Source organism: Homo sapiens, chromosome 1 (assembly GCF_000001405.40).
Source record: "Homo sapiens chromosome 1, GRCh38.p14 Primary Assembly".
Taxonomy (NCBI): domain Eukaryota; kingdom Metazoa; phylum Chordata; class Mammalia; order Primates; family Hominidae; genus Homo; species Homo sapiens.
Window position 1 is genome coordinate 212,991,738 of NC_000001.11, and position 25,399 is coordinate 213,017,136.

At 39.2% G+C, this 25,399-nt stretch overlaps 1 protein-coding gene across 13 annotated transcripts, besides 4 other annotated features; it reads right to left on the reverse strand.

The window, feature by feature from the left end:
* Positions 1–444: 444 nt before the first annotated feature.
* Positions 445–24,130, reverse strand: ANGEL2 (angel homolog 2). 13 transcript variants are annotated; one of them, XM_017002774.2, is made up of 9 exons: positions 23,917–24,130; positions 21,356–21,681; positions 16,473–16,729; positions 15,392–15,461; positions 13,296–13,717; positions 9,049–9,175; positions 8,589–8,646; positions 5,418–5,581; positions 445–3,455 (listed from the first exon to the last, which is right to left on the reverse strand). In XM_017002774.2, exons 2-9 carry the CDS (start codon positions 21,672–21,674, stop codon positions 3,304–3,306), a joined length of 1,569 nt encoding a protein of 522 aa, XP_016858263.1. In that variant the 5' UTR covers positions 21,675–21,681; positions 23,917–24,130; the 3' UTR covers positions 445–3,303. The 13 variants fall into 13 exon arrangements, 12 of the variants coding, with proteins under 12 accessions (XP_016858263.1, NP_001287682.1, NP_653168.2 ...); NM_001300753.2 differs by lacking the exon at positions 21,356–21,681 and adding an exon at positions 19,471–19,721 and having other exon boundaries at positions 23,876–24,130; NM_144567.5 differs by having other exon boundaries at positions 23,876–24,130.
* Positions 22,967–23,555: an enhancer, noted in NCBI's record as "NANOG-H3K27ac-H3K4me1 hESC enhancer chr1:213188046-213188634 (GRCh37/hg19 assembly coordinates)". NCBI's record gives its function as "activates a minimal SCP1, AML or CMV promoter by ChIP-STARR-seq in naive H9 embryonic stem cells {active_cell/tissue: H9 hESC(naive)}" and the evidence as "EXISTENCE:reporter gene assay evidence [ECO:0000049][PMID:30033119]".
* Positions 23,556–24,143: an enhancer, noted in NCBI's record as "NANOG-H3K27ac-H3K4me1 hESC enhancer chr1:213188635-213189222 (GRCh37/hg19 assembly coordinates)". NCBI's record gives its function as "activates a minimal SCP1, AML or CMV promoter by ChIP-STARR-seq in naive H9 embryonic stem cells {active_cell/tissue: H9 hESC(naive)}" and the evidence as "EXISTENCE:reporter gene assay evidence [ECO:0000049][PMID:30033119]".
* Positions 23,556–24,165: a biological region, named in NCBI's record as "NANOG-H3K27ac-H3K4me1 hESC enhancer GRCh37_chr1:213188635-213189222".
* Positions 23,856–24,165: an enhancer, noted in NCBI's record as "active region_2527". NCBI's record gives its function as "activates an Ori minimal core promoter by ATAC-STARR-seq in GM12878 lymphoblastoid cells {active_cell/tissue: GM12878}" and the evidence as "EXISTENCE:reporter gene assay evidence [ECO:0000049][PMID:35858748]".

Sequence of the window (25,399 nt, forward strand, 5' to 3'; positions counted from 1 at the left end):
AAAATACAAAAAATTAGCCGGGCATGGTGGCGGGCGCCTGTAATCCCAGGTATTTGGGAGGCTGAAGCAGAAGAATCGCTTGAACTTGGGAGGCGGAGGTTGCAGTGAGCTGAGATCCCGCCAATGTACTCCAGCCTGGGCAACAGTGCAAGACTCAGTCTCAAAAAAAAAAAAAGTAAGATGGTGTGATTTTTTTTTTTGGTCCTCTTATTATATATTTATTCTACTGAACCTATTTATCGTTCTTTCACCCTTCTTTCACAATCTGCAGACTCTATATTAAAAACACTCTATCACTCTATTTTGACATATCTCAATTCACTCATCTTTTAGCATCACCCCTAAGTAAAAATGGCTGCAAAGGGCAATGAAATAGTTTAGTAAAGGCAACAGTACAGCTTATACATCTCAGTATACCTACCACAAAACCTTCAGGCACAGAAGTACGAGTATAATAGTTTATTACCTAACTTACAGGTACAAAGTGCAAATGACTTGACGCCTCTCTTTCCCCAATCCCTTGAACTCTCTGGATCTCAAACTTTCTTTAGGAAAGCAAAGGTTAAAAGCAGACAGTAACTAAATTCCAAATAAAGACAAGATTTCAAACATGAATATTATCTTGATAGCAAAAGGTACAGTAAAACCAAAATTTCATTACTCCACAGTTTACCTTTCCATTTAAAACTTGGATAGTATAACACTTGAGACTGAGAGATTTGGTTTCAGGCATTAACCAGATTTAATTGTTTTTGGCAGGTAAGTACAGGCTCTGGCAGAGTTACCAACTATTCTGGTCAACAAAAGTAAAGACAAGTGGATAATTATTTTTAGTGGAGCTTTAAAAACCTGTGAGAAGCTCACATTGACTTTTTGGCCTCCAGTCCACAAAATAATACTTCATTTGATAAGCTAAAGTAAAGAGCAATTTTATGGATTAACTCTATCAAAGTGAAGCACATGAAAAATGGGCCTAAAGTCACAATATATTAATCAGGATATAAAAAATTAAATTTTCACAGAGGTTTTCAGGGATGTTTGTTTGTTAACAATGACCTATATGTAATAATGTTATTTGTTAATAAATTCACACAACACAAAGCAGTAATTAACTAATGAATTTTCATTTTTCTTTCCCCAATATTAAAAAGGGATAATTATACTATCATTATAATTTGATAATGTCTATATCTGCTAATTAGGGCACATAATATCCTGCAAACTACTACTATAAAATGTGGGAAATCCTAGAACTATAATTAATACTGTAATTAAAATCCCCCCAAAGGCCAGGCATGGTGGCTCATGCCTGTAATCACAGCACTTTGGGAGCCCGAGGCGGGTGGATCACCCCTGAGGTCAGGAGTTCAAGACCAGCCTGGCCAACATGGCAAAATTCCATCTCTACTAAAAATACAAAAATTAGCTGGGCATGGTGGTGCATGCCTGTAATCCCAGCTACTTGGGAGGCTGAGGAAGGAGAATTGCTTGAACCCAGGAGGCGGAGGTTGCAGTGAGCCGAGTTCGCGCCACTGCACTCCAGCCTGGGCGATAGCGTGAGACACCATCTAAAAAATAAAAAAATAAAAACCCCCCAAAATGAGAAATTAAATATTTAAACATATTCAATTACAATTTTTACTAGACAAATCTTATAATCCACATGCCTTCTCTGAGGTTTTCATCTGTTTGTTTTTTTAAAAATAATTATAGCAAATGCTTTAGTACAAAGACTTAGTCCAAGACTATTATTGTTTTCCAATTTAAGGTGAAGCATTCTATTAATAAAACTCACTGTAAAAACATTTACAATTCAGTGTAAAATTACTACTTAGTAAAAATGCATATAATTCCTTGTTCCTACTGTCTACAAAAAAGGAAATTTCCACTTTTTATGTTTTAAAATTGATTCAAACACTTGTATAGAGGATTTATTAAACCTGCTCATAACCACTTCATAGAAAGTGTCAGCACCATCTCATACTGGTGCATCACGGTAAAAGAAAACATTTTAGAAACAAAACCACTAAAACCAACAGTTTAAATGACTATTTACAGAGCATTAGGTCTCCAAGTTAATATCTCCCCACTAGAGTTTTACAGGCTTCCTCATATTTCTGAGGCTTAACAAAAATAATTTTATAGCTGCCACTTTGTTCCAAAGACAAATTTCCTAATAAAATAAATTTCTATAGAACTGGTTCAGTAAAATAAAATCTCTCCCCTAAACCAGAGATCTTAAAACTGAATTTTTAAAAAATGCTGCCATGTGCAGTGGCTCCCGCCTGTAATCCCAGCACTTTGAGAGCTGAGGTGGGCGGATCACCTGAGGTTGGGAGTTCGAGACCAGCCTAACCAACATGGGGAAACCCTGTCTCTACTGAAAATACAAAATTAGCTGGGAGTGGTGACGCATGCCTGTAATCCCAGCTACTCGAGAGGCTGAGGCAGGAGAATCGCTTGAGCCCGGGAGGCAGGGGTTGCAGTGAGCAAAGATTGCGCCATTGCACCCCCAGCCTGGGCAACAAGAGTGAAACTCCATCTCAAAAAATAAAATAAAATAAAAATAAATAAATAAAAATGCTAGGGAAACAAAGGTATATCCCCAGTCTCTGCCTCTATTAAGCCCACCTCTTGTCTGTTCCAGGGTGAAAGAGTGAGCTTTACACGTTATGCTGGCTTATATTTCCCAAACATTTCCCCAACACGATGCAGGCATATTACATGGCTCAGGACAGTAATAAGATGGATTAAGCATTCTGTACAACTTAAAAAGCATTATCAAACCCCTTCAAAAACAAACTAAACAATGGCTGGTTGGATACCTGTGAATGACCCAAGGCTTTCTAAGATAAACTATTTAGAACTCAATAGAGGGGTCTCCTAATGAAATCAAGCCTTCTGGAAAGGAAACAACTTGTAGTTTGCAAGAACTCAAAGATACTTTGGATCCACTACAGAGCTTGCCAAAATTATGAAATGAAATTTTTTACTAAGCAGACAAAGGAAGATGCATTATATTTAAAAATCACTGTCAATTTTACTAGGATTTAGAATATAAAACCTTTACATCTCTTTTACAATAAAGAGAATTTAGAGCTCACTTGTCACGAAAATATTTTTCATTATTAAAAAAAATTGTTATAAAGTTATTTCTTCTGATATGGAGTTTCAAAGCATCTAACATAACCGCTTCAGAATCTCCACAGTGCAAAAATAAACAACATGCATACACTTAAGAACTTTACATTCTTTGAAAAACAATACAAATTGGAAAGAAAATTAGTATGTGATCAAAGAGAGTCAGAGCTCAAGTCTGAACTTTGCCAATAAAGGCAGATGATCTGAAGAGTTATTTTCGTTTGGAAGTCCATTAACAGTCCATAAGTCTTGTTCTGTAAGAAGTGACAGTCTAGCTAGAAGTTTCAAGCCACCAACCAAAGCAACTTCAGCTCCTACATTAAAGAAGCACACACATATTTAGTAAAATTGTCAACGGGTTATTGTAAATTAATCATACAAGTCTTTTCTCCAAACAAATATAGAACTTGAGGCCCCTCCAGAAGACTAAAAACTATGACACAGTTTTTAGAATATCTAAGCTTTATTGAATTATAACCTAATTATAATTATCAAACACACAGCAGTTTGAGATATTTTTTCTATTTCCAGCTCTGTAAACAATCTTTAGAAGAAAATATAAATGAAATACTTAAGAATGTTAAGGGTAATTTGTGGTTGACAACTACATAAGAAACTCATCCAGCAACCATTCTGTAGTTGCATAAAGCCAGAGACACCGGGCCACAGCCCTGTAGCAGTTTATAAGGTGAATGGAGAATAAATTAGTATAATTTAGTCCCAGATAGTCAGCACCCACAGAAGTGAAGATGACATGCTCTTTTTGAAATGCTGATCCATAACACTCTCCTGCCACCAAGTGAACTTCTGTCAGCATGACAACTACGAAAACCTTACTATAAATTCAAAGCAGCAGGCATATTTTTTGTAGAGTAGATCTAGTGGCAGGAATAAGTCATCTCGTGAGTGTTACTAATAAGGTTATTCCCAGAAGAAAGGAGGGGGGAACAAACAGAGGGGAAAAGGGTAAAGAAAAAGAAGCATCCAAAAAAATGGAAGAGAAAAAAATGAAAAAAATCAGAAAAGAATAAAACAGCTGCTCACATTCCAAAGTTTTCTTAAAGGTATTTTTGTACTTCCAGTAATCTTAAACTGCATTTTCTTCTCCACTTTAAATCCTTTGGCTAATGTTTAAAACCTGATTTTCGGCCGGGCACAGTGGCTCACGCCTGTAATCCCAGCACTTTGGGAGGCCGAGGCAGGCAGATCATGAGGTCAGGAGATCGAGACCATCCTGGCCAACACGGTGAAATCCCGTCTCTACTAAAAATACAAAAAATTAGCCGGGCATGGTGGCGGGCGCCTGTAGTCCCAGTGGCTCGGGAGGCTGAGGCAGGAGAATGGTGTGAACCTGGGAGGCGGAGCTTGCAGTGAGCTGAGATAGCGCCACTGCACTCCAGCCTGGGCGACGAGCGAGACTCCGTCTCAAAAACAAACAAACAAAAAAATTATATAGACTTTTCTGACCGAATGTGGTGGCTCATGCCTGTAATCCAAGCCACCCTGGGAGGCCGAGGTGGACGGCTTGAGCCCAGGAGTTTGAGACCAGCCTGGGCAACACGGTGAAACCCTGTCTCTACAAAAAATACAAAAATTAGGTGGGCATGGTGGCTCATGCCTGTAGTCTTAGCTACTCGGGAAGCTGAGGTGGGAAGGTCACTTGAACCCGGGAGACAGAGGTTGCAGTAAGCCGAGAATCATGCCACTGCACTCTAGCCTGGGTAACAGAGCGAGACTCTGTATCCAAAAAAAAAAAAAAAAAATATATATATATATATATATATATATATATACTTTTCCTCCTCAGAAAAATCCAATATTCCAGAGTCAACATGACAGCATAAGCTGTGTTGCTGGCAGTGTAACTATGGTCCTCCAATGAAGGCAGGACGCCTCGGTAAAATTTAAGCACAAAACTATGATGACCATTAACAACATACTCAGTTCCTGTCACAGGAAAAACAGTAAATTTATGGCAAGCAAAAAGAAAGGGCAATATGAAAGACCTATAACTCAGAGGCTGACTGGAACTGGAGGGTAGGACTGCTAATGTAATTCTTGGGTAATAATTTGCTTGGATGTGTTTTATTGCCTCCCTCATATGCAAGTAATCAACTGATTTATTCAAATATATTACCAATCTGTCTATTTCGAAATATTTTTACCTTCTAGATCTAGAACTTCAACTGGATGTTTAGAGAGCTTTCTTAACTTTAACCTTGAGGTTTTAGCTACTGTGCTCTCTAGGAGAATTTAAGATTACATGCATTCCTTACCTGGGTGCCCAGCAACATCTTCCTTTTCTGCAGAGTAGAAAATATAATCCACAGTTATGGCACTTCGGGAATGACAGGTGGTCACTTCTGGAATTCCAGTGTCAGGAAAGTAATGTGAATAAACAGATGACAAACTGAAATGGTGCTGTAAATTTGAAGACAATCTAAATAGAAAAGAAGAAGTGTTTAGAATCCGAGTTTTTGTAACTTCAAGAATTCCTCCTATCTGAATTTCTTTTTCACTTAATTTCTAGACTAAGACCAAACATTAGGACAAGCTTTATTTAAAAAGACCATATCATAATTTAGTATTAATTTACTTATGCAGTGATATCTAAAACCCATCAATAAAGCCATTATAAATGTGGTTTTTAAAAAAAGCTCAATAATTAACATACTAATGTGTTTTTTCATTATTTATAACGTGTGAATGCCTCCACTTACTAAAGAACATGTATTCTAACAAGTTTTATTGTGTTTTTAAGAAAGAGAATCAAGGGGGTCTTCAGGAACACTATTTGGAATCCTCTAGACTTTTGATGACAGAGAGGCCATATTCTTCTCTAATTTTTCTTGCTATCACATATAATTTTGTACTGCATCTTAAAACAGCTTCTCTAATGGTTTATTATATTTGCCCCATGCACAAATATATGTGATGTTATGAGTAAAAGGTTTAAAGACTATTTTCTAGTGATACTTTATGAATCTTAAGGATCTTTTATGCCTTGAAGGAAAATAAAATTAAAAAAGAAACTTATCCAACAAACATTTACCAAACATCTTCTAAGTTCTAGGCAATATGTCAGGTGCTGAGAATACATAGATGAAGATGTTTCCCTTGCTTTTAAAGTGTTCATATGTCAGGAACAAAGGTAAATCCTTAAAAATGCCCTCTAAGTTTTATTAGCAACTTTTTATGTCTAAGGATTTATAATATTAAACATAAAATAGGGCCGGACGCGGTGGCTCACACCTGTAATCCCAGCACTTTGGGAAGCCAAGGCGGGAAGATTGCTTGAGCTCAGGAGCTCGAGACCAGCCTGGGCAACACAGTGAGACCTCATCTCTACAAAAAAAAAAAAAAAATCTAGAAAAGTAGCTACGCGTGGAGGCACATGCCTGTGGTCTCAGCTACTTGGCAGACTAAGGTAGGAGAAAGGCTTGAGCCTGGGAGGTGGAGGCTGCAGTGAGCCAAGATCATGCCACTGCACTCTAGCCTGGATGACAGTGAGATCAACTCTCAAATAAAAATAATAAATAAAAATAGGTCTTCTGCAAACTCTTATCTATCAATTTTTCAGTTTACAGATATAAGCTATGCATATAAACACTCTGTATTTACATAAAGATACAAAAAAGTATCTTTTTTTTTTTTTTTTTTTGAGACAGAGTCTTGCTCTGTCGCCCAGGCTGGAGTGCAGTGGCATGATCTCAGCTCACTGCAACCTCCACCTCCCAGGTTCACACCATTCTCCTGCCTCAGCCTCCCGAGTAGCTGGGACTACAGGCGCCCACCACCACACCTAGCTAATTTTTTTTTTTGTATCTTTAGTAGAGACGCGGTTTCACCGTGTTAGCCAGGATGGTCTCAATCTCCTGACCTCATGATCCGCCCGCCTCAGCCTCCTAAAGTGCTGGGATTACAGGCGTGAGCCACCGCGCCCGGCCTCTTTTTTTCTTTTAATTTTTAGACACCAAGGGCAAGTAAGGTATCTATTTTTTAAAATTATTATCATTATTGAGACGGAGGCTTGCTTTGTCACCCAGGCTGGAATGCGGTGGTGCGATCTCGGCTCACTGCAACCTCTGCCCCCCAGGGTTCAAGCAATACTCTGCCTCAGCCTACCTGGGATTACACGTGCATGCCACCATGCCCGGCTAATTTTTTGTATTTTTAGTAAAGATGGGGTTTCACCATCTTGGCCAGACTGCTCTTGAACTCCTGACCTCGTGATCCACCCACCTCAGCCTCCCAAAGTGCCGAGATTACAGGCACGAGCCACCACGCCCGGCCAGAATGTTTTAATTTTTTTTTTAATAGAGGCAGGGTCTCACTGTGTTGCCCAGGCTGGTTTCAAACTCCTGGGCTCAAGCAATCCTCCCGCCCTGGCCTCCCAAAGTGCTGAGATTATAGGCGTGAGCCAACACGCCCAGCCAATATCTTTTTTATATCCTATATTGTTACAAAAAGATTTAAGAGTTACTCAAAACGAAGTACTTGTTAGATTAGCCTCCTTATTAATCTTATTCAAAGAAGTTTTTACTATATTGAAAGGTTTAATCATGAATTTTAAAATATTCATTTAAAAAATTTTTTTAAAAATTGCTTCCATTCTTACTAGTTCTTATTTATGTAGTAATATTTTCTCAAAACAAGGTATACAAAATAAAGATTGAGAAGCAGATAAAATAAATGAGAATTGGTCCCTAAATTTAAATGTTAAAACAAAAAACTATAAAACAGCCACAATATAATTAACAATCAAGATATTTCAAGAATCTCCCTGAGACAAGATTTAAGTCTCTGTCCTGTTTTATTAACATGTATCAATTTCTCAACCATAGCCCCAAATATTCCTATTTCTTTAATGAAGAATTCCAGCATCTTCACCCCTCTGACAATCTTCTCCTACAGTTCAAGAGATAAATTAAAATGATCATCTTTTCAACTGGCATATTCATTTTTGGATCAATTCTCTTATAGATGGTTTTGAGATTTAGTAAATCAAAGACAACTAAAGATCCTTTTGAGATCTGAAAGATATTTTTATGTGATCTTGACCTTTGTTTAAGTATGTGAATTTCAAAGAGTATTTGAGCTGGTCCAGGTCCACAGACAAGCTGTTTCCCTTCCTAACACTACCTAGGTGCCTAGGTATGTTTCAGACATTGTGCTTTATATGCTTTGTCTCATCTAATCCTCACAACAATCCAAACTATAGACAAAGAAACTGAACCTCAGAGATGTTAAGTTTCTTGCTCAAAATCATTCGGCTAAAACACAGCAGAGTCAGGACTGGAACTCAGGCCTATCTGACTTAAGGGCCAGCACCCTTCACCAGCACGGAATACTATCACCTTCATTTTTTTATCCAAGTGATTTTTGAGAAATGAGTTTTTTATTCAACTAAAGTTAGCAAATGTCTCCTTTTGCTTTCCAGAACTCACTTTTCAGCTGTCACTAGGACCTCTGTTTGCTTCAGCTGTGTTTGTGTCAGATCACTGTCTGTAAGAATAGAGGAAAATATATTAATGTTATTGTTCTAGTTTGCCTTAATATCGTCATCTTACTCTAGAAACAATATTTAAGACTTATCTAGGTTAGAAAGATGCCTAGTTACATGTTTCATTCTGGAATCTATATATTTCGATGGCCTCCAGAATTAGGAAAAATAGAAAAATGCAAACAATTCCAAAGCAACATGCAAGTAAATCATGCACAGATAATTCTGGAAGTTCAACTTTAAAAAGGTAAATTTAGAGGTCTTAAGAAAAAAAATGAATAACTACATATTTATATATATGAATATTCATCCCTGAGATTTTTTCTTTTTAAAAACTTAGTTTTATGTCTTCAAAGGGAACATGATTACCCAGCAGACTGCCAAAATGTATTACAAACACTTACCTGTCTTTTCTACTTTTGGTACCTGCTGTACCTCATACACACAGTTCTGTGAGATACCTAGGTTTGGGGGCCAAATTGGAATAGATAAAATTCTTTGTCCCCGTGAAGACTGTTCCTGGCCAGATACCTAAACAAAATTTCAACAGGTATCTTAAGTGAAAAGATTTTAAATAGCTTATGAGTTGAAAAATTTATGTCTTAAATAAAAGGTAATCCAAAAGTGGTAAATTATTACCCTTTATTCATTGTATTAAGTGATTCTTTGGACTTATAAAATCTTCTTTTCTTTAAATACAATTCAGAAAGCACTTATCATTTACATAAAAATGACAATCTTTTTCCCATACATGCTTTTCTTTAATTTGGACATACAAATCATCTATCGCTTTGAACTAACACTATTCATCATTTTTTACTACCTGCAATATAGTTCCTATTGTATCAAATATAGGCATGCTCACAGGTACTGCGGGTTTGGTTTCAGGCCACCACAATAAAGTGAGTATCTCAATAAAGCAAGTCACATAATTTTTTCAGTTTCCCAGTGCATGTAAGTTGCGTTTATACTATACTGTAGTTTACTAAGTGTGCAATAGCATTATGCCTAAGAAAATACATACCTTAATTTAAAAATACTTCATTGTTAAAATATCCTAACAATCATCTCAGCCTTCAGTGAGTCATCATCTTTTTACAGGTGGAGGATCTTGCCTAGATATTAATGACTGCTGGCTGATCAGGGTGATGGTTGCTTAAAGTGGGGGTTGGCTGTGGCAATTTCTTAAAATAAGACAACAATGAAATTTGCTGCAGCCATTGATGCTTCCTTTCATAAAAGATTTTTCTGTAGCATCTGATGCTATTTGACAGCACTTTATCCACGGAACTTTTTTTCAAAATTGGAAACCCTTCCAATGTTTTATCAATTAAATTTATGTAACATTTAAAATCCTTTGTTGTAATTTCAGCAATGTTCACAGCATCTTCACCAGGAATAGAATGCATCTCAAGAAAATACTCTGCTCATCTATAAGAAGCAACTCCTCATCTATTTAAGTTTTATCATGAGATTGAAACAATTCAGTTAATTCTTCAGGCTCCACTTCTAGTTCTCTTGCTATTTCCACCACATCTACAGTTACTTCCTCCCCTGAAGTCTTGAACCCCTCAAAGTCATCCATGAGGGCTGGAATCAACTTCTACCAAACTCTTTTTAATGGTGATATTTTGACCTCCTCCCATGAATCACGAATGTTCTGAATAGCATTTAGGATGCTGAATCCTTTGCAGGTTTGCAATTTACTTTCCCCAGATCCATCAGAGAAATCACTTCTATGGCAGCTATAGCCTATGAAATGTATTTCTTAAATAAGGAGACCTGTAGGTACAAAATTACTCCTTGATTCCATAGGCTGCAGAATGGATGCCGTGTTAGCAGGGATGAAAAAACATTCATTTCCTTGTACATCTTCATCAGAGCTCTTGGGTGACCAGGTGCCTTGTGAACGAACAGTAATCTTTGGAAAGGAATCTGTTTTTCTGAATAGTGGTCTCAGCAGTGTGCTTAAAATATTCTATGCCATAAACAGATGCACTGTCATCCCCAAGCTTTGTTTTTCCACTGACATAGCACAGGTAGAGTGGATTTAGCATAATTTTTAAGTGCCCTAGGATTTTCAGAATGGTCAATGAATGCTGACTTTAACTTAAAGTAACAAGCTATATTAGCTCCTAACAAAAGAGTCAGCCTGTCCTTTGAAACCAGGCACTGACTTCTTCTTTCTAGTTATGAAGTCCTAGATGGCATCTTCTTGCAATATAAAGTGGTTTCATCCACATTAAAAATTGTTGGCCAGGTGCGGTGGCTCATGCCTGTAATCCCAACACTTTGAGGGGCTGAGGCAGGAGGATTGCTCAAGCCCAGGAGTTCGAGACCAGCCTGGGCAACATGGTGAAACGCCACCTCTACCAAAAAATATTAAAAAATTAGCCCGGCGTGGAGGCATGCACCTGTAATCCCACCTACTTGGGAAGCTGAAGCAGAATCGCTGGAACCCAGGAGGCAGAGGTAGCAGTGAACCGAGATCGTGTCACTGCAGTCCAGCCTGGGCAACAGCGCGAGATCCTGTCTCAAAAAAAAAAAAAAAAAAATCTATTATTTAGTGTAGCCACCTTCATCAATGATCTTAGCTAGATCTTCTGGATAACCTACTGCAGCTTCTACATCAGCAGCACTTGCTGCTTTACCTGTACTTTTATGTTATGGAGATGGCTTCATTCTTTAAACCTCATAAATTAACCTCTGTTAACTTCCAACTTCTCTTCTGCAGCTTCCTCATCTCTCAGCCTTCAAAAAATTGAAGAGACTTAATGCATTCCTCTGGATTAGGCTTTGACTCAAGGGAATCCTGTGGCTGGTTTGATCTTCTATCCAGACCACTCAAGCTTTCTCCATATTAGCAATAAGGCTGTTTTGCTTTCTTATTATGCCTTCATACACTGGAGTAGCACTTCTAACTTCCTTCAAGAACTTTTCCTTGCATTCACAACTTTGCTGTTTGGTGCAAGAGGCCTAGCTTTTGGCCTCTCTCAGCTTTCAAAATGCCTTCCTTGCTAAGCTTAATCATTTCTAGCTTTTGATTCAAAGTGAGACATGTGAGTCTTCCTTCTACTTGAACACTTAGAGAGCGCTGCAGGGCTATTACTTGGCCTAGTTTCAATATGGTTGTGCTTCAGGGAATATAGAGGCCCAAGTAGGGGGAGAGAGATGATTAGTGGAGCAGTCAGAACACATTTATCGATTAAGTTCTCATTTTATATGGGTACAGTTCATAACACCCCAAAACCATTACAATAGTAATATCGAAGATCACTAATCTTGGATCAACATAACAGATGTTAATAATAATGAAAATGCTTGAGTAATGCAAGAGTTACCAAAAGGTGACAGAGACAGGAATTGAGCACATGCTGTTGGAAAAATGGCAATGATAGAGCTGCTTAAGGTAGAGTTGCTATGAAACTTCAATTTTGTAAAATGCAGTATGTTTGAAGCTCGATAAAGCAAAGCACAATAAAATGAAGTATACCTGTACTAAGAGAGATTAACTCTTACAAAATTTTAAACTTATTGGCTGGGCATGGTGGCTCACGCCTGTAATCCCAGCACTTTGGGAGGCCGAGGTGAACCTGCAGGTCACCTAAGGTTGGGAGTTAGAGACCATCCTGGCTAACACTGTGAAACCCCATCTCTACTAAAAATACAAAAAATTAGCCGGGCTTGGTGGTGCAAGCCTGTAGTCCCAGCTACTCGGGAGGCTGAGGCAGAATTGCTTGAACCTGGGAGACAGAGGATGCAGTGAGCCGAGATCCCACCATTGCACTCCAGCCTGGCGAAAGAGCAAGACTCCATCTCAAAAAAAAAAATAAATAATTTTAAACTATTACTCAAAACTCCAGTGTTGGAGAGCTTATTTTGGTAAATATACTGAAGATGAAATGATCTAAAGTAAGGAGAGGAAAGCACAATAAAAATAATCACGAGATAAATTGTGCTAAGCTAAAGAAAATATTTATTATTCTACAACGGAAACTTGTATAATAAATGTTAAATTACTATTTTGCCCACAACCAGCATTCAAAATTCTATCCTGCCACCTTGTGTTACTTATCGGTGAAGTATCCATGTCTGTCAATACTTTTTTTTTTTTTGCTGCCTGTTAATTCCTCCAAGCAGTATGTTGCCACAGATAGATGAAAAAGATATAAATCAACCAAGTGAAAATAATTACTTACTAGAAGAAGCTGGGCACAGTGGCTCACGCCTGTAATCCCAGCACTTTGGGAGGCCGAAGCAGGTGGATCACGACGTAAGGAGTTCGAGACCAGCCTGGTCAACAAGCTGAAACCCCGTCTCTACTAAAAATACAAAAATTAGCCAGGTGTGGTGGCACACACCTGTAACCCCAGCCACTCGGGAGGCTGAGGCAGGAGAATCACTTGAACCCGGGAGGTGGAGCTTGCAGTGAGCTGAGATCATGACACTGCACTCCAGCCTGGGCGACAGAGTGAGACTGTCTCAAAAAAAAAAAAAAAAAAAAAAAAAAAGTCATGGAAAATCATAGTTTGATAAAGTGAGGGTACTGGATCATCCAAGGTTTTCAAATAGCCATGTAATGACTATCTTCACATTATCATGAGCAGAGCAACTATGTCCACTCCCTAATAACAATGAAGAAAGCACTTACCTTTCCTATGGGAAGTCCTTCATAATTCAATTTTCCTTCCTTTATGAAACTATATAGTGGAGAACCAGGAACAGAATTAAAGTCACCACACATAACAATAGGGCAGAAGCTGCCATCTTTCTGGTGGGCAACACTGGAAATCTCTGCCAGTAGCATTGCCAATTGCGTCAGCTTAATATCACCTCGCCTTGGATTATACAACAGATGCGTATTTGCTACGCAGATTGCAGGGCAGGCAGCATATGGAATTTTGGGCTGTAAGAGTAAAACTAATCCAACATTGTCTCTGTCCAACAGAGAAATATCAGGGCGGAAGAATTCCACTGGGTTCACTGACAAGAGTGAAAATTTGGAATGTTTGAAGCAAATAGCACAGCCATCAGGTTTCCTTCCTGTCCGCATCTTATATTCACAGTGATAACCTACAAGAAACAAATGAATTTAAAACAAATGACTGCTTTTATATATTTATCAAAACACAGCTCACCTGATACTTCTGAACAATGTTTACCAAACTGTATTCTGCAAAACATTAGTAATGTAGGATGTCAATAAACATTGGAATAAAAAACGTTTGACACTGGGTCTAACAGGCCTCTTTATGCGCAGACTTCAGCCCTTGATATGCTAATGTGTATTATCAGTCTCCCGTTGCCATCCTAGTAAAACTTAGTCATGGCAATAGTAAAGCTTTATAATAATCTATTCTCTCACTCTCTCCACCCTATATTCCTGATCTTTTTGCCTGTAACTCCTTCCCCCTCACTTCATTCCAATCTCACTGGCCTCCTCACTTGCCTTAACACACTCCAACCTCAGGGCCTTTCCCTTGCTATTTCTGTTGCCTAGAATGTTCTAGGCATCGCTTATTCCTTCACCTCCTTCAAATATTTGTTCAAATGTCACCTCGTCTGATCATTTTGTTTAAAACTGAAACCTCTCCTATTCCACTTTCCTGCTTTTCTCCAGAAAACTATCATTACTTAATATGCTATTTACTTATTTATTTGGTTAGCCTTTCTCCACCAGAAGGTACACTCCACACAAGGGAGAAATTTTTTTAATCTTTTTTGCCCAATGCTATATCCTCATTCCCTAGAACAGTGCACGGTATATAGTAGGCACTCAAAAAAAAATTGCTAATGAAGGCCAGGCGTGGTGGCTCACGCCTATAATCCCAGCACTTTGGGAGGCCAAGGCAGGCGGATCACGAGGTCAGGAGATCAAGGCCATCCTGGCTAATACGGTGAAACCCCGTCTCTACTAAAAAAAATTCAAAAAATTAGCTGGGCATAGTGACGGACGCCTGTAGTCCCAGCTACTAGGGAGCCTGAGGCAGGAGAATGGCGTGAACCTGGGAGGTGGAGCTTGCAGTGAGCCGAGATTGCACCACTACACTCCAGCCTGGGCAAGAGAGAGACTCTGTCGCAAAAAAAAAAAAAAAAAAAAATTGCTGAATGAATGAATGCAAAGTAAGCACACTTCTCAAGTATATGGGACCACAGATAACTTGTTTCTAGGAGTGTTTATTTATCAAACAGGTTTTTGGCATCTATCCATTAGGTAGACACTGGCAGGCACTGGTATTATAATGATGAACGAGACAAAATGGTCTCCTGGAGCTCAGAAGCTTATAGGTCTACAGGTGGACAGAACAACTCCTAGGAAAGGGAGCTACTAAGATATTCTTACACATCTTTCTGTTTGAATTAAAATTATACACCAACACAAAAGTTTCCAGTGAGTACCTCAATCTTTTCCTCTTTGAAATTAAGTTTTTAAAATTAAGATTTTTAGCCAAAATATGCCACACATCTTTGTCAGCAAGTTATACTTTAATGACACATGAATTTTCAAAAGTAAATTTGGCTAAAAGTTACATTGCCTTGTCTCTATAAAAAAAATTAAATAATTGGCCGGGCATGGTGGCACACATCTCTAGTCCCAGCTACTCAGGAAGCCGAAATGAGAGGATTACTTGAGCCCAGTAGGTTGAGGCTGTAGTGAGCCATGATTGTGCCACTGCACTCCAGTTGGGCGACAGAGTGAGACCCTGTCTCAAAAAAGAAAAAAAAAAAAAAAAAGTTGCATTGTACCCAGTGATTCCAAACTTGGCCTGATCTCTGCTCCATAATGATCTTCTTGAACTTCTTGCAAACAAAGTACCTTGGAAGAAAAAAATAGCTTGAATTAGAACACAGAGATGCAATCATGAATTTCCTGGTGCTTTTATCTTAAAATATCTAAAAGCAGGCTTCTAAAATTCCACACCTGATAAGAATTGAAATAAAAGACTTACCTGTTTTTCTTGTTATAGATCTACCAAATTAATGTTTCCGAATTTTGATCAATCTCAAAACTCTGGCCCTCAATCACATGGAGCTCCCTTAGTACTCAAAATTATTATTTCCAAAAGGAAATATTCTTAGCTTACATGTCAGGATATTTTTCCGGGTTTTACATGTTCATTGGTACTATCTTTCAGGTCTTAAGAGGCAGATTTCTTTGAATGCTATCAGGTAGGTGACATTTTTGCATGAATTACTGAAATTTCAAATCAAAGTTAATATTTACTGAATACTTAATATGTTGCCAGTTTCTGTCTCAAAACTGACCCATACTTAAAAACTTTTTGGACCCTCTTTGAAAAGTTAGATGATTATTCATACCAGCAACCACTAACAAATGCCTCTCTGAAAGTTATACCTTATTAAGACTTATTCCATCATTATTCTTAAACATATTCCTTTCTTACCCCACAAACAAAATGGATAAAACCATTTAGTTCATAAATGCACAAATGAAACATTTAACCCAACTTTTTCTTTCTTTCTTTTTTTTTTTTTTTGAGGCAGAGTTTTGCTCTTGTTGCCCAGGCTGGATTGCAATGGTGCAATCTCAGCTCACTGCAACATCGACCTCCCAGGTTCAAGTGATTCTCCTGCCTCAGCCTCCTGAGTAGCTGGGATTACAGGCATGAGCCACCACGCCCGGCTAATTTTGTATGTTTTAGTAGAGACGGGGTTTCTCCATGTTGGTCAGGCTGGTCTCAAACTACCGACCTCAGGTGATCCACCTGCCTCAGCCTCCCAAAGTGCTGGGATTACAAGCATGAGCCAGTGTGCCCGGCCCCAACTTTTTCTTATGTGAAGAATTTCAATAATATTTTGCACTTACGTCTGCATCAAAATGTTTAATTTCTTTCAGAATATTGGGAAACCTAAAACTCCAGTGTAATACTGGCCGCCGGCAATGTCTATAAAGGTGAGAGTTATCTTCCAGTAAATCTTGTGAAAGTATATTATAGGACATCACTGAAAAGTCAAACTTGTTCTCACTGTCTTCACATTTGGGATCAACATTTTTGTCTCCTAGGATCTTCGTTTTTTCTTTATCATGGCTACATATATATTCCCAATTCCGCTTTATCACACCTGTTAAAATATATTGCACAAATATAAGGAATTAATCAAAAGCAGACCATACAGTTTCCCACATATATGTATTTTTCAGCCTCTTAAAAATTCCCATAAGCAATGAATAGAATGTTTTTCCCTAGGAAGTGGCAATATAGCACTGAATAATTAGAACTGTTATCAAATTGGTTACAAATGCGGTAACACAATATACTGACCAACAGGTTTAAAACAGGTTTAAAAGAATCTTGCAAGTCATTCTGGAGGCTGAGAGTATGTGTTAACAAAGCTAAGACTATACAGAGGTTGTGGTTTCTCACTTCTCTACAGTTAAGAAGTGGCTCTGCCACAGATGTGATTGGCAGTTTTATAACTATAACAACAAATTTGTATGTCAAAGTTGGCTTTTCAATAAGATGATTTTACACTGTATTTTATTCCCTATTAGTGGGATAAGATCGTCAAATGATTAACCAAGTTCCAGAAGCAACCCTTAGTTCAGAATTCTAGTTTATACATGAAAGAAGTGTATATAATGGCAATATATGGAAGAAGTTTTAGTGTTTAAAACACTGAAGTGGAACATGCAAACAAAATAACAAAAGAAATCTTTTAAATGTACAACAAAGGAAAAGTTAAATATGACATAGCTACAGAATGCTAGTAAATGATGGCTAACCAACAAACCTAGCATGCAACAACCAGGCGTGTGTTCATATTCTGCAAACACATCATGCATTCTGCAAAAGTGATGAAAAGAATAAAAAAACACAAGACTTTGCAATCATAGGCAGTCCCTGACTTAGAAATAACCGTGTGTGTGATGTGTGTGTGTGTATTCACCTTTGATCTTGTCTCCTACATCCTATCATTAAAGAGCATGCTCTTACTGCCATGGAAACCATGAAGAGAAACACGGAATTTTTGGAGAATTTATGAGTTCAAAAGAGAAAACAAAAAAATGGGAAGAACATGGGAAAACAGATTTGGAAATGGACTTCTAAGTATGATTAAATTATATAAAAAATTTCAGCCCCTAGAATATCTCCCTCTATCCTGCAAAGGTTTTCACTTCACTGGAATACAATGCCTGGAATTCCACCAATCAAAAATTAAATTGAAGTTAAAATATCCTATACACTTATATAGAGGGTGAAATAAAGACTAAAAGGAAACACACCCATATTTTTAAGAGTAGTTATCTCTGAGTGTTAGGACTGTGAAATATTTTTGCAAATCTTCTGCACAATACATTTACAATCAAAATATCAATATGCTATTTAAAAATGCCAATGAAGTAATCATTTTAAAGTATGATTAGGCCAGGCACAGTGCCTCATGCCTGTAATCCCAGCACTTTGGGAGGCTGAGGCGGGTGGATCACCTGAGGTCAGGAGTTCGAGACCAGCCTGGCCAACATGGCGAAACCCTGTCTCTACTAAAAATACAAAAATTAGTCGGGTGTGGTGGCATGCACCTGTAATCCCAGCTACTCAGGAGGCTGAAGCCAGAGAATCGCTGTAACCCGGGAAGCAGAGGTTGCAGTGAGCCGAGATCGCGCCATTGCACTCCAGCCTGGGCAACAAGAGTGAGACTCCAACTCAAAAAAAAAAAAAAAAAAGATGGAAAGAAACAAAACCAAACTAAACAAAAGTCTTCAACTATGAAGAATTTTGCCTAGAGCCTATCCTATGCCCAGGAAAGGAAACTATCCTCTTCCCTATCATTCACTGAAGATAGGAATCCTACCCCCAATGGCTCAGAACTAAGGCCAATTGTACTGGCTCTGCAGAGCCATTCAGATTTATAACAAAATTTCTATAGGGAAAACAGAACTGATTGGCCGGGCGTGGTGGCTCACACCTGTAATCCCAGCACTTTGGGAGGCCAAGGCGGGTGGATCACAAGGTCAGGAGACCAAGACCATCCTGGCTAACACCGTGAAACCCCGTCTCTACTAAAAAATACAAAAATTTAGCCGGGCGTGGTGGCGGGCACCTGCAGTCCCAGCTACTCGGGAGGCTGAGACAGGAGAATGGCGTGAACCTGGGAGGTGGAGCTTGCAGTAAGCTGAGATTGCGCCATTGCACTCCAGCCTGGGCAACAGAGTGAGCCTTCGTCTCAAAAAAAAAAAAAAAAAGAACTGATCATGTGTAGAACACAATTCATTCATAAACTGGAGACTGTCTATGATGGTTTTAGCCAAATCAAAGTCTTCTTATGTATACAAGATGGAAAGGGTTCCAGTCATGCAAACAATATATAAGCTATCATCACAGATGGAGCACTACCCTGGTTTCACTGCCATATTAAAATATGAAAATTAAGGTCTAAAAACCTTATTCATATTTCCTTATAAAACATGTACATGTAATGGCATATAAATGCATTAAGATTTTTATTGTCCTGGTCATTAAAGTTTATAAACAACTCTTTTTGCAATTCCATTTTTTAAACAACCAGGACCATTAGTTTATCTGGTTACTACAGTGGCTTTCAAACTTCTACAACTTGTAGAACCCTTCTGTGTTACTTTTCATGCCATGGAACACCAATCCCTGGCATGCTGGGACTGGGGCTGGGATGATGGGGTGAACACATATTTTATACTGACCACATTTGCTTTTAATAAACTTACAGAAATGTGTTCAAATATGAGGGTTCCATGGAAGACAATTTGAAAACCACTGATAAGAGTGGATAGTCTCTGGCCTTCATATGCTTCACAACATAAATTCACACTACAAAAGCTTATATACCTTCCATATCAGGAGGAACAAGGTGATCACAGCAGAGAAGACAGATGAATCAAAGAAAGTAAGCAATAGGCCTGATCAGGTTTTTAGGGTGCCTAATTACAAAGTCATAATTGTATCACACAAATCCTTCAAATACCACTTTAAAGTGATAGGCAAGTTAGCAATGCTGTTTTCTTGATTGAAAAGTATTAGTGAAATATCGGAAGTCACAAATATGGCTTAACGAAGAGCATTTTCCTTATTCACAACACCTAGGAAGAATGGACATATAGAAAGTCAGGTTGTAATCAAGCTTTATCAGTAGGTAAATGTAATTCCCCATCCATTAAGGGAAAACAACACCATAATTTTCTGAGTACCTACTATGAAGCCAACAGTGTGTTAGGCACTTTGACATACAGTATCTCATTTCATTCAACAGACTTTCAAGTAGGCATTATTTTACACGAAAAAATCAAGGAGCAAAGAGGTTAAGTAAGCTGTCCAAGTTCATATAATTAGTGGTGGGGCAGAAAAGAAAGCAGGGAGTGGTTCCTAAATCAATGCTTATGTAGCTATGCCACAGCTCCATCTGAAAGCATCCCAGATTTCTAAGAGGCTAAACAAGAGGAGTGTGCTGACCTGATGGACAAATTTTTATGAGTGAAAAGCAATCTGGTATCATCATACTGCCCTATATTTATAGATCTTAGGATTGTTCTTAGAAACCTAATTTTAATGCCTCTAAATACACCTTTCATTCATTCAAATATTTCTTGTTTATCTCCCTATGCTGTGGTTAAGTACTATACACAAACAGATTTTCACTTTTGGACAGTTAAGAATTTCTACAAGTGTTTTTTTCTGACTAGGTCCTTTGTAACTGTGTAGCAATAAGTTACACATTTATTTGAATATTAGCTTAGCAAAGTTGATTGGGACCCAGCTGAAGCCTGTAGACTACTTTCTGATAACAAAACCAGAGGGAACCTGAAGAGCACTAATTCTAGCTTTGATTTCCAGATGAGACTCACCTTGAATGCCTTCCTTTGACAAACTTACATGTCAGCTCCCTAAACATTAACACCCACACATCCTTCTCTCAAGTTATCTTCAGAGGAATTATCTTCACTGAAAATTATGGTTCAATAAGAAAGACAATTCCAAATTCTACCTAGACACCTCACTTATACTTTCAGGAGATGGGGTTGTGATGGGGGCAAGACTGGCAGCACAGAGGGAGTCTAGTGAATTGTTCAGAGTAGAAAGAATATGAAAAAATAGAAGTAAATTAACACATTTTAAAAAACTGTTTCTCAAAGTGGAATAAGATGTGGTTCCCTTTCTTAAAGATAATACTTCGGGCAAACTCTCAAGATTTTATCTATGGACCCAATTTGAGATATACAGATGTAATAAATGAAAATCTTATCCTATAAGACCATGTCTTCCATTTATGATTGCTTCTATTTATGAGTCCTTTCGTCTTCCATAAAAATGTTAGCTTAAAAATGAAAACACTAAATTTTTTTTAGATCTGTAGACTTCTAAGCATATAGCCATCAATTTCTAAGAAGTCTAAGGGCCTTTGTTTCAAAAACATTGGATTTAAAAATTATCCTTAAATAAAACTTACTTTTGTAATCTATTTCTCCTTTCTTTGCCAATCTTATTCTATCTGTAGACTCATTTCTATTTTTATAGTCAGAAATACACAATTAGTTGAAGATAAAAATAAAGACTTCATTTAAGGAAGAATTCATTTTTTTCTAACATAAAACTACTGGCTAAAAGTCAACACCAAACACCTCTAAAACCTTAGGAGGTTTAAAGGATTAGATATGAAAGTTTCAATTTAGTCTATCACTTGTATCTATTTCTACACCAAGATAAATGTCACCTTTACCTTGGTGTTTTCTTCGTTTTGATGAAGGCTCATCTCCCTCAGCGTTCATGACGTAACTAGAGAGATGAATCAAAGATGTCTGGCTCAGGTTGTCAGGTCTCCAGTTACAGTACTGGAACTGAGTTCTAGACTCAAACAAACAGGGTGGTCTCCAATTTAGTGAAAAATGCCTACTACTGAAGTATGGGTAAGGAGCTCGAGAGTAATGTCCAGGCCACCTCATACAACTAGAAATATGTCTGTTCCAGCAACACCTTTGCAGATTCTCCCACGGTGTAGTCCAGTCTCTGCCCAGACTCCTCGAGTGATGGGGAAACATGGGGTATCTAAAAGAAATAAATACACTCCTTGAGGCACCACTTTTTGTTCAGCTATAGTTTACAAAATCTAAGCCTGTTTCCTCAAGGGAAGGTAATGTCTAATATTTAAAATCTGGCTGCTAAATCTGTGAAGGATGAAGAGGAAAGCACCCATGATTTACCTATTGGCATCAATATCTCAATACTCTCGTCCTAAAAAACCATGAATGGTATTCTGAATACTTAACACAGAATGCCTCCCAGGCTCCCAAAATACCACATACCCCTGAAAATGTACATAGTTCAACTGAGAGATGAATCAACTATCAAAATGATATTCAGAGTAGCTTTCAAGCACCTACAAAACTCAATGAGAAAATAAAATACACAACAAGTATTATACTGAAATCGAATAAGGAACTCATATCACACTACAATTAAAGTAAACCTCTCCTCCAACTTGGAGTAATAACAAGTTTCTGAACAGTTTTTTATACCAAGGGCAGATTTTTCCAAACACTTGTATAGTTAGGAAAACAAAAGCCTATCCACAACTTCATAAATTCACAAAACTACTTCTCTTACTAATCAACGGGTGGATAATTTATTTCTCCATTCTTTTTTAAGCATGATTCTCGTTGGGGGAAATGAAAGAGGATGGGGATGACGTACTACGAATGCACCAACACTCCAAACCAACAGCTTCAATTTAACCCATCATCCAAAACATCTCCAAAGTGGCGCTAACATTTTTAATAGGTATGTTGCTCTCAGGCTCTCAAGAAACACTTCAGCTTAATAAAGCACCATGTTCCTCTCACTATACTACTTTGGCAAAATGTTAAGATTCAGAGAAGGACTTTTATCCTTTCCTCCAAAATTCTTAACAGCTACATTTCTACCACAGCATCAATAATGTGCGCTCCCATCCCTAAGGGAATTTTGTTTAAGTTGCGTTTACTGTTATTTAACTTTATACGCTGTTATTCTCGTTTTAACAGCATTTAAATTTTTATTATAATTTTTACAGTTTAAGTATTCGCTAGTTGTTCTCTAAAATCTACTTAATTGTAAATCTTTAAAGGCATAACATGGGCATTCTACACTGCTTTGTGATAACTCTGAAAGCCATAGGAATTTGGGCACTTGGTCCATGCATTTTCTATGCTAATAAGCCACTGTATTGAAATATAATACTTGTACTACAAAAGCTATTATCTATATTTGCAGTTATTTATTCAGACTTTTTTTTCTCTTAAGATGTTAAGCTCCTTCAGGGCCAGAACAGAACCGTCTTATTCATTTTAATTCCGTTATCTTCACAAGTGCCTAGCACAGTGCCTGGCAAACAGCTGGTACTCAGGAAACATTGTTGAACTGAATTACCATCAAGTCCCAGGCCTATGGGAGTTACAACCAAATCCCCATCGCTTATGTAATAATACATGCTGTGTTTCCCAAGCGTGGTGGGTGGTACACGAGTCGGTTTCACAGAGTACACAGTTAAATTACTTGATTGTAATTTCTAAATACTTATGTTAGTTTATTAGGAAAAAACATAATCGCACATCAAATCCAAGACTCTGCAGACACTGCTTAGGGTGAAGCTAATGTGGGCAGCACCTACTGAAGTGCTTTTTAAAAAAAACTGAGTCAATTTAAAGAAAAATATCCAGTAAATAATACACGTGAAACAAGAACTTGGCCATAACAGTAAGGGATGACATACAAGTGACTAAAGTTTGAAAGACACTAACACATCAACAAAAATCAAGCCCCTCCTGGGCGTGTGCCACACACGCGCCTCCAAGGGATCAGGCCCGCCGAGACCTACTGCGGAGAGGCGGCCTCCCCGCCGACGCTCGGTTCCCGGGACGGTGCTGCGGAGTGTGTGGAGCAGGCCAGCGCTGGTCTGGAGGCTGGGTTGGGGGAAGCAGGCCAGGGATCCAAAGCCACTGGCACAAGCCTGGCCGGCGGCCCATGAACTCCGCGCCAAGACCCCAGACCTCGTTGGCCCAGCGTCCCGCCAGCTGCGCGGCGGGTTTACCTATCCCGCTTGGTCTCTGGAGGCTCGTCCCGGATGCACCATCGCCCAGACCCTCTTCCTCTTCCTTCCACCCCTAGCCCGCCCCGCCCCGCCCCGGGTTAGTCCCGGACGCCCGCCCGCTCTTTCAGGCCGCCCGCCCCTCTCTCCTCCCTCCGAGTACCCAGCCCTACTGACCGGCCTCTTCCCACCACACAGTGGCCGTAGCCCTTCCTCACACAGCGCCAGGCTTCCATCTTCGCCCTCCGCGTGCGTCCAGTTCCCAGGCCCCGGGTTCCACCTCAATCTCTATAATCGATGCGACGGCCTAAAGTATCTAGGGAACCCCATCACTCTTAAGTACCGACTCCAGTCCTGGCTGCAAGGCATGCTGGGAGGTGCAGTCTCGCCGGCCGGCCTACACTCCATCTTGCGCAGTCAGAGTCCCTGAATGCCTTAACCCGGAATTCTGCTCAAGGAGCATGCGCAGAGCGTGGGACGCGCGTGCAACCATTTCTGAAGAGGGCAAAACACCCGAACTTCGTCTTAAAGAAACAGAAATAAACTTTCTTTTTTTTCTTTTTCTTTCTTTCTTTCTTTTTTTTTTTTTGAGATGGAGTTTCGCTCTTGTCGCCCAGGCTGTAGTGCAATGGCACGATCTCGGCTCACTGCAACCTCCACCTCCCGGGTTCAAGCGATTCTCCTGCCTCAGCCTGCCAAGTAGCTGGGATTACAGGCATGAGCCACCACACCCGGCTAATTTTTGAATTTTTAGTAGAGACAGGGTTGCACCATGTTGGCCAGGCTGGTTTCGAACTCCTGACCTCAAGTGATTCGCCCGCCTCGGCCTCCCAAAGTGCTGGGATTACAGGAGTGAGCTACCGCGCCCGGCAGAAATAAACAGAGCAGTGAAAATTTTTAATTGCCCAAAGTGCAGATTCCCAGCTGAGGCTGAACAACGCATCCTCTGGGTGCCCATGGAACTGAGGTACCACAGAATTTTGCAATTAATGTTGCGGAAGCACAGCCATAGCTCTCACTTTAAAATGTACGTGTATGGGCCGGGCGCGGTGGCTCACGCCTGTAATCCCAGCACTCTGGGAGGCCAAGGCGGGCGGATCACGAGGTCAGGAGATCGAGACCATCCTGGCTAACACGGTGAAACCCCGTCTCTACTAAACATACAAAGAATTAGCCGGGCGTGGTGGCGGGCGCCTGTGGTCCCAGCTACTCGGGAGCCTGAGGCAGGAGAATGGCGTGAACCTGGGAGGCAGAGCTTGCAGTGAGCAGAGATCGAGCCACTGCACTCCAGCCTGGGCGACAGAGCGAGACTCCGTCTCAAAAAAAAAAAAAAAAAAAAAAAAAGTACTTGTATGTCTTGTGTGTCCACCTTTATTAAATGTATTATAGGACTGTAGATTGTTGAAAGACATTATTTAAGTGGAGACCCTGCAAGAAACAGGAAGAGAGAAACCGAGAAAGAATAAAGTGTGGAGAGTAGAGGGGAAAAGGATACTAGAAGGCAGGAGCACTGCTTTTATAGGCTCTTTGAAACAGTGGTAATTTCTTGGGAAGGCTTTTCTTATCCCTGGTGCATAAAAGGAAGTAAAGTGTATTTGAAAAAAACCTTTCCCTCAGTATGTAATTGATTCTTGTTATTTGCAGTAGTTAGGTTCTGTAAAGTTGCTGGAAACACTGAATTAGTAAATACTGAATCATTAC

Bases quoted from the DNA above. Each gene is read 5' to 3' on its own strand.
- ANGEL2 (NM_144567.5), bottom strand. From the start codon at position 23,934: ATGGAAGCCTGGCGCTGTGTGAGGAAGGGCTACGGCCACTGTGTGGTG. The intron at 5,582-8,588 runs GTGAGTTCTGGA...TTTTCTATTTAG, and splicing joins GTCCTAGTGACAGCTGAAAA to ATTGTCTTCAAATTTACAGC. The intron at 3,456-5,417 runs GTAAGGAATGCA...TCTTTAATGTAG, and splicing joins AGATGTTGCTGGGCACCCAG to GAGCTGAAGTTGCTTTGGTT.